The following is a 9227-nucleotide window of genomic DNA, read 5'->3' on the forward strand; positions in this document are numbered from 1 at the left end:
CCCGCCACCACGCCCAGCTAATTTTTTTTGTATTTTTTTATTAGAGACGGGGTTTCACCATGTTAGCCAGGATGGTCTTGATCTCCTGAGCTCGTGATCCGCCCGCCTTGGCTTCCCAAAGTGGAGGAAGATTATTTTGTACCCTCTATGACTGCCCATTCATAAAACTTCATAGGACCCGAACTGAGAACTAAATACCAAAGTATAGAGATAGTGACTTACTCTATTTTATAACCCCCATACCTAGGTTAGTACTTTGTACCTAAGAAGAATCAATAAATATTTACTGTTTTGTTTAACTGAATTTAACTAATGATTTAAGATGAATCCGAAGTACAGACCCATGTACCCCTGTTAGATTGTTGCAGATTTCAAGGACTATGATTGTTCTGGGTGTTTTCTGTTACCTATTTCTTTGACACGGTCAGCTCTTTTCTCTAGAGTTTAATGCAGTCACGGAAGCACAAACTGGAGGACCATGGACTAAACTCTGTCAGTGAAATTGTTTATTTGGTTAAAACTCTGTGTGTGTGTGTGTGTGTGTGTGTGAGAGAGAGAGAGAGAGAGAGAGAGAGAGAGAGATTTTTTAACTGATTTTTGAATGCCTTTGGTTGGAGCATATGCTCAGTATGCACTCTGTAGTTCCCCATAGGCCCTGCTACTTTCTATTCTCTAATATCTATCTGCCTTTTTAGTCCCTAAGGGCAGTTGAGTGTGAGACCCACACATCTAGAGTTTAAATCTCAGGATGACAGTATGTATTATTGGTCCAGCCTATTCTTACTCTCCATTCTACGGGTGAGTTGTTTCCTGTAGATTTACTTTTAGCTTTAGGTCAAAAGTACTATTTTCAAGGCCAGGCGTGGTGGCTCACACCTGTAATCTCAGGACTTTGGGAGGCTGAGAGGGACGGATCACTTGAGGTCAGGAGTTTGAGACCAGCCCGGCCAACATAGAGAAACCCTGTCTCTACTAAAAATAAAGAAATGGCCGGGCGCAGTGGCTCAAGCCTGTAATCCCAGCACTTTGGGAGGCTGAGGCAGGCGGATCACGAGGTCAGGAGTTCGAGACCAGCCTGACCAACATGGTGAAACCCTGTCTCTACTAAAAATACAAAAAGTAGCCGGGGCGTGGTGGCACGCACCTGTGATCCCAGCTACTCAGGAGGCTGAGGTAGGAGAATCTCTTGAACCTGGGAGGTGGAGGTTGCAGTGAGCCAAGATCATGTCATTGCACTCCAGTCTGGATGACAGAGTGAGACTCCATCTCAAAATAAATAAATAAATAAATAAGCTTGGCGTTGTGGTGTATGCCTGTAATCCCAGCTACTCAAGTGGCTGAGGCACAAGAATTGCTTGAAGTCGGGAGGAGGAGGTTTCAGTGAGCCAAGATTGTGCTACTGCACTAAAGCCTGGGTGACAGAGCAAGACTCTGTCTCAAAGAAAAAAAAAGAAGTACTGTTTTCATAGTCATCTCCCTTTTTAGTTTAGCCAGTATCCTCCTGCATTCTGCTAAACTCTGGTTTTCTCTCTCTTCTTTCCTTTCCCTCCTACTTAGCACTCCTGGTGAATTTTCCCCCTTTTCTACTTTTCTCAATGTCTGCATCCTAAATGGTTTCTGACAAAAAGCATGGATGAAGACTCAGCTTCTACTCATTTTAAAGATGGGGCAATGGCCAGGCACGGTGGCTCACACCTGTAATCCCAGCTACTCAGGAGGCTGAGGCAGGAGAATCGCCTGAACCCAGGAGGTAGAGGTTGCAGTGAGCCAAGATTGCACCACTGCACTCCAGCCTGGGCAGCAAGAGCAAAACTCCATCTTTAAATAAATAAATATGCGGACAACAATGCTACCAGTGAGTAGAGATAATGTATGCAAAGTACCTGGCACACAAAAGGTGCGGTAAACCTGAGAATCATTTTCCTCTTCTTTCTGGCTAATAATTTCAAGAACTACTGTGAGGCTATTTGCACAGCCCTTCCATCTTGAATTTCTTTTCCTATCTTTTCTAAAAATTATTTTGTTTTATTGTTTTTTAATGTTCATTGTGACTCATGGAATTGATTTCATGACTCACTAATGGATCACACGCATAGTGTGAAAAACATTGATATAGAGACATTTTGTGCCCTCTTTTGTGTTGGTGACTAGTCTGCTAGACTGATGGCTTGTACAGGAACTTCTTGAACTGGTAGGAATATATCTTAGAGTTTCATTCCTGATACTTTTTGATGGGAAGAGGTTTTTTTAAATTATTTTTTCATTTTTTATTTTTTATTTTTTGAGACAGGGTCTTGCTATGTCACCCAGGCTGGAGTGCAGTGGCACCATCCTAGCTCACTGCAGTCTCAACCTCTGGGGCTCAAGCAATCCTTTCACCTCAGCCTCCTGAGTAGACGGAACTACAGGCAGATAGGAAGAGTTTTTAAGAGTGCCAGTTATGGTCTGATCTACCAAGGATCCAATGAGGTCTTCCATGGCAAGGTCAACTATCAGGTTGGAGTTGATAATATATTTTTATGGAACATTCTTGGCTGCTATAACCTGGCCAGGTCCAGCACCACAAGCCTTATATCTTGTGGTGGAGAAACAGTTCAACTCACACCCCTACCCCCATTCTCTGTGCAACACCACTCCATTTTCCTATGTTTACCCTTCTCAGTTCATTCATTTATACTTTTATGGAATCATTTATGCAACAATTATGAATTGACCACTTACTCTATGTCAGCCACTCTATCAGGGTCTGGAAAAAGAAAAGAGCCATTCCTGCTTTTGCTGAGCTTATGGTCTGTTAGTGGGAAGCAGATATAAATCAGAGAACCACATCAATAGATGTAACATTTTTTAAAGTTTCAGTTGTAATTAATGTCCAAAAAAGACAGTATATATTGTTATGGCACATTATAATAAGGAAAAATGGCCTGGTCAAGGAGGTTACAGTAGGCTTTTCCAGAAAAAATAATGATTGAACTGAGATTGAGAAAAATAGGAGTCAACAGTGTGTGTGTGTGTGTGTGTGTGTGTGTGTGTGTGTGTGGTGGTGATTAGAAATTTCTAGTAGATGAAACAGCGTGTTCAAAGCCCTGTGATTAAAGGAAGCACAGCTTTATTAAAAGGAGCACAGCTCAGGGTTTGCTTCCTGCTTTCTTTCTCCCTCTTCCCTTCCTTCTTTCCTCCCTTCCTTCTTTCCTTCCTTCCTTTCTTCCTTCCTTCCTTTATTTCTCCTTTCACCTTGAATTCAGAGAGTTAACAACTTTCTCAGTTTCTGACACATTATCATCAATGCAAAGATTCTCTTTTGCTTTTTGAAATTTATCTGTATATTCAGTTTTGTCTCCTTTCAGCAATTCCATTCTCCTCTCTTTCATAGGCAACCATTTTAATGCGTTTAATATACATTTTGAAACATGTTATTGTAAAAAAATGACTGTTTTGTTTATATATTATTAATTTATGTCTATGATATTGTTTTATTAGTTTCATTTCTTTTTTCACTTGGCACTACGGTTTTAATATTCGTCCAAGCTGCTCTTTGTATATCTAATCTGTTGTTTCTAATTGCTGCATAGTGCTCCAGGGTGGTTCATCTGCCACTTAGTACATATTTACTCCAGTTTTGGATTGTCTCCAATTCCTTTTCACCTCACACAACAAGGACTTCACTCACACACTTTAATGAACATCCTCCAACATGTCCTCATGGGGACCTGTGAGAAAATTCCTTGAAGGGTATAACCAGGAGCACAACTGCTGGGTGATAGTTGATGCATGCCCTTGACTAAATCATGCCAACTGGGTCTTATAAACCAAAAAGAGTATCTGGGATAGGTCTCCATCAGTTTAGAGGTTTGTTTTGTCAAGGTTGAGAAAGTGTCTGGGAAAAAAAAAACCCCACAGTAGAATCTGTGGCTCGCACTTTTTCCAAAAAGGGTTTTGAGGGGTTCAGTTTTTAAAGAGGAGAAAGCAGGCTGGATGGGGAAGGAGGAAACAAAACAAAAGGGGAGAGTAGGAAAAAATTAGGTAAGTGGTTACAGTCTTTTAAGGCTTTGATTATTTCTCACTGAATCCACATGTTGTATGTATGTGGAGGAACAGCCAATTCTGTGTTTGTCTCATGCTCAGTAAATCTGCAGTTTATGTAAGATAAAGTAAACGTAGAGTAGAGGAAGAAGTCAAATATGCATTCATCTCGGGGTTGGCAGTGGGACAATTTCTAGCCTCCTCTCATCCTGTACACGTGAAGATAAGCTGGGTCCTGTTATTGTTTATTTCTTTGTTTGTTTTAGAGGCAGGGTCTCGCTCTATCACCCAAGTTGGAGTGAAGTGATATGATCATGGCTCACTGCAGCCTTGAACTCCTGGATTCTAGCAATCCTCCTACCCCAGCCTCCTAAGTAGCTGGGACTATAGGGTGCACCACCATGCTTGGCTAATTTTTTAAAATTATTTTTAGTAGAGACTAGGTTTTGCTGTGTTGCCAAAGCTGGTCTCTAACTCCTGGGCTCAAGCAACCCTCCTGCTTCGACCTCCCAAAGTGCTGGGATTACAGGCGTGAGCCACCATTATTACAGGCAAGGCGAAACCCTGTCTCTACTAAAAATACAAAAATTAGCTGGGCGTGGTGGGGCATGCCTGTAATCCCAGCTGCTTGGGAGGCTAAGTCAGGAGAATTGCTTGAACCTGGGAGGTGGAGTGAGCAAAGATTATGCCACTGCACTCCAGCCTGGGTGACAGAGCGAGACTCCATCTCAAAAAAAATAAAAATAAAATAAAATAAAAAGTAATCACTGTCTTCTAATGGAAGTTTCTGTTGCCTTTTGCTAAACATCTAAAGTACTTTAAGATTATATTTTAGCACATAATTTGTGCGCTTATCCAAGATCACCTTTCAATTTTCAAACACTTCTTAGGATTTTCTAGTCACTAAGGTGAACTGGAAGCGAGTTGGACCGAACACAAATTTTACTTAGTCTTGAAAGAAGAAATATAAATGGCTAAGTAATGTCAGGGTAGGGAGGAGGTTCAGCTTCATTTGTAGTTAAAAAAAAGAAGTAATTTAAAAAGAGAAGTCCCTTTATAAAGTTGGGAAGTTTTTTAAAGTGATATAATCTATCTTTGGTGAGGATTCAGGAAGATGGGCACTTTCTTACAGTGCAGGGAGGGAACACACAATCTTTCTGAAAAGCAATTTGACAGTGTGTATCAGAAGCCTTTAATTCACACTGAGAAACAGCATTGTAAAAAACTAAAGCCTTTAAAATGTATATTTAAGAAAGGAGTTAGAGACAAGGAAGGGGAGAAGGCTAGAACTCCATGGTATTAGATTGAAATGGGACCTATCAGTATAATCTCTCTTTCTCTGTCTACGCACACACACACAAAACGCAGACATACAGAAAAACATATGGATACAGAAATAGATGTAAATGTGTGTGGTTATGTGTCTGTGTACATATCTCCACATCTCTCTCTTTTTATTTTTTGAGATGGAGTCTCGCTCTATTGCCCATGCTGGAGTACAGTGTCACGATCTCAGCTCACTGCAGCCTCTGCCTCCTGGGTTCAAGGGATTCTGCTGCCTCAGCCTCTCAAGTAGCGGAGACTATAGGCACACAACACCATGCCCAGCTAAATTTTTTTTGTGTGTATTTTTAACAGAGACAGGGTTTCACCATGTTGGCCAGGCTGGTCTCGAACTTTTGACCTCAAGCGATCTGCCCACTTCAGCCTCCAAAAGTGCTGGGATTACAGGCATGAGCCACCGTGCCGGGCCTACATATATCTCTTACCTCTATCTGCTGAGAGGGCCTAGAAGCAATGAGACTCCAGTATCAATGAGCATACTTAGCGCCCAGATTTTTTTTAATCATTATTTTATTTTATTTTTTTAGAGATGACATCTTGCTATGTGTCCCAGGTTGACCTTGAGCTCCTGGGCTGAAGTGATCCTCCTGTTTCAGCCTCTCAAGTAGCTGAGACTGCAGGCATATGCCACTGTACCTGGCTCCCAAATCTGAATGTATAAATGCCATTTTTCTATAGAAGGAATCAGGACTTTTTGGAAAAATGGCTCTTTCCAAGGCTGACGCAGGGAAAATACAGAAAGCAGCTGGAATATCTTGTGGTGCCAGAAAGTAGAAAGTTCCTTTAGAAAAAAAAAAAAAGATGAGAGGCTAGGTGCAGTGGCTCCTTCCTATAATTCCAGCACTTTGGGAGGCCGAGGCAGGAGGATTGCTTGAGCCCAGGAGTTCAAGACCAGCTGGGAGACAAAGTGAGACCCCATCTCTACAAAAATAAAAATAAAAAAATTAGCCAGGCATGGTGGCAAGCACCTGAGGTCCCAACTACTTGGAAGGCTGAGACAGGAGGATTGCTTAAGTCCAGGAGTTCGAGGCTGCAGTGTGCCATGTTTGCACCATTGGACACCAGCCTGGGCGAGAATAAGACCCTGTTCCAAAAAAAAAAAAAAAAAAAAAGAGTATCTGTCAAAAAAGACATAGGAACGAACTTTAGGGGCTCTCAATGACCAAATATGGGACAGTTTAGTACTGTATTTTAAGCAGGTAGAATAAAACGATAATCTATTAGTCTGTGCTGATATAAATAAATAATCGAATAAATAAACAGAGGAGAAAGGAAATCTCTTTCTTACCTTAGAATTCCAATTAAATGTAGAACAAATGATGGATATAGATGCCATTTGGCAAACATCATAGGGATAAATGTTTCAAGCATAAAAAGTATGAGGAGAAACAGAAGTACATTGTCTTTAGGTATTTCCTTATGTCCCTGCTACCATAACCTGTTTTGCCAGGATCCAAGCCCCCATTCCTTCCATAACCTCAAGATGATATATAAGCTTCTAAACTCCATTGGGGGATGGATAATCACTCTGTGTGTGTTTTTCCCTGTGTACATGTTAATAAAATTTATATGCCTTTTCTCCAGTTAACCTGCCTTTTGTGGGTTGATTTTTCAGTGAAACTTCAGGAGGCAAAGGAAAAGTTTTACCTTGGTCCCTAAAGTTTGGTGCTGTGAGCGGGATCACCAAAGCGGATCTGTTCTTCCAGAAGCCACAGTGAAGGGAACCCAGGACTTGACAAGCCAGAACAAAGGGTAAGAATTTCTCGCCAGTCAGGCTCCAGGCCTCTCTGTGGAAACTGGGTTGAGTAGATGGTGAAAATCACTGTTCTCTTTTTCCTCTGCAAAATTTTGATGAATAGGAGAAAAGGATTTGTGTGACCAGTCTTGGGTGTAGTGACTGTGGTATATTTTTTGGTCTTTTGTTATGAATATTCATATTGTTTGATCCCTTTCCTCATAGAAATTGTTTGTTTGTTTGTTTTTTCCCCCTTTGTATTTGTCTTTCTGTGTTGTTCTTTTATAAAAAAGGGTACCAGATGAGGTTTCTGCTTGTCTTATTTTATATCCTTGAGGGTTTGACTTGTGAGCAAGTATTCTCTCTTGATCTCCACCATCCTGGGAATGTGATTTTCAGAGGACATCAGGTGACCAGCCTGAAAATGGCTGGGAACTCAAGATTTTTTGTTCCAAATGTGTCAAGCTCTTAGGAGAGTTTGTCTATCTTAGCCTATTCCCGGGAGTGAATTTTTTGTCGGGGATCTTCGGACTTGTTTCCTCACCTTCCACAAAAAGGCTATTGGACTGAGTCACTATTGGAATGAATACAACATTAGACATTAATCAGGCTGGGCGTGGTGACTCACGCCTGTAATTGCAGCACTTTGGGAGGCCCAGATGGGCGAATCACTTGAGGTCAGGAGTTTGAGACCAGCTTGGCCAACATGGTGAAACCCCGTCTCTACTAAAAATATACCAACTAACAGGGTGTGGTGGTGCATGCTTGTAATCTCAGCTACTTTGGAGGCTGAGGCATGATAATCACTTGGACCTGGGAGGCGGAGGTTGCAGTGAGCTGAGATCGTGCCACTGCACTCCAGCCTGGGCAACAGAGTGAGACTCTGTCTCAAAGAAAAAAAAAAGAAAGAAAAAAAGAGAAAGAAATTAGTCAGTGGCCAAAAAATGGGTCCTTTAAATTAGAAAGACTCCTAAATTTTAAAAAAGGAAGTTTAGAGATCTCTTATTCTAAACAATTACTTTATTTGTATGTAAAGAAAGATTAAGTTTTTAAAAAAGAGACTCAAAATAGTATCATGGCTAGCCTTAGAAATTCTCTAGGCAGGGCTGGGCACAGTGGCTCACACCTGTAATTCCAGCACTTTGGGAGGCCGGGGCAGATGGATCACCTCAGGTCAGGAGTTCAAGACCAGCCTGACCAACATGTGAAACCTCGTCTCTACTAAAAAAATACAAAAATTAACCAGGTGTGGTGGCAGGCGACTGCAGTCCCAGCTACTTGGGAGGCTGAGGCAGAAGAATGGCTTGAACCCGAGAAGTGGAGGTTGTAGTGAGCCGAGATCATGCCACTGCACTCCAGCCTGGGCGACAGATAGAGATTCTGTCTCAAAAAAAAAAAAAAAAAAAGAAGAAGAATTAGAAGAATTAGAAGAAGAACAAGAAGAACAAGAAGAAGGAGAAGAAATTCTCTAGACAGGCCGGGTGTGGTGGCTCATGCCTATAATCTCAGCATTTTGGGAGGCCAAGGCCGGTGGATTGCTTGAGGTCAGGAGTTCAAGACCAGCCTGGCCAACATGGTGAAACCCTGTCTCTACTGAAAATACAAAAATTACCCAGGAGTTGTGGTGGGTGCCTGTAAGCCCAGCTACTCAGGAGGCTGAGGAAGGAGAATCTCTAGAACCTGGGAGGCGGAGGTTGTAGTGAGCCAAAATCGTGCCACTGCCCTCCAGCCTAGGCAACAGAACCAGACTCTGTCTTAAAAAAAAAAAAAAAGAAGAAGAAGAAAAAGAAAAAGAAAAAGAAATTATCTTGACAAAATTAAAGAGCAAAGGTCTGACCTAAAACAAAGCTAGAATCCTTTGTACACTCAGACTGCCTGCTTGTGATCTCTTGTGGGATTAACAATGGCAGGGCTGCTCCGCCTTGTAGTCTAATAGTTAAAATTCCACAGGTTCACTGCCATGGCCTAGGTTTAATTCCTAGTCAGGGAATCAGTCTCTTTTGGTTTGAAATTTGTGTGAATTTTGACTTTTTGAGGAACCCATTTATTAATGATCCTTGTTCCTTCCATGGACAGCTTATGATTTCCTGTCAACTTCTGTCTATAGGAGGCACATGAGGCTTTT

At 41.7% G+C, this 9227-nt stretch overlaps 2 annotated features.

Annotated features, from left to right (window-relative positions):
• Positions 4065–4265: a silencer, noted in NCBI's record as "peak1050 fragment used in MPRA reporter construct". NCBI's record gives its function as "represses an SCP1 promoter by STARR-seq MPRAs in K562 erythroleukemia cells {active_cell/tissue: K562}" and the evidence as "EXISTENCE:reporter gene assay evidence [ECO:0000049][PMID:32103011]".
• Positions 6904–8103: an enhancer, noted in NCBI's record as "MED14-independent group 3 enhancer chr10:96140095-96141294 (GRCh37/hg19 assembly coordinates)". NCBI's record gives its function as "activates an origin of replication core promoter dependent on BRD2, BRD4, P300/CBP and CDK7 cofactors, and independent of MED14, by STARR-seq in HCT116 cells {active_cell/tissue: HCT116}" and the evidence as "EXISTENCE:reporter gene assay evidence [ECO:0000049][PMID:35650434]".

This window comes from Homo sapiens, chromosome 10 (genome assembly GCF_000001405.40).
Source record: "Homo sapiens chromosome 10, GRCh38.p14 Primary Assembly".
In the NCBI taxonomy this organism is placed as follows: domain Eukaryota; kingdom Metazoa; phylum Chordata; class Mammalia; order Primates; family Hominidae; genus Homo; species Homo sapiens.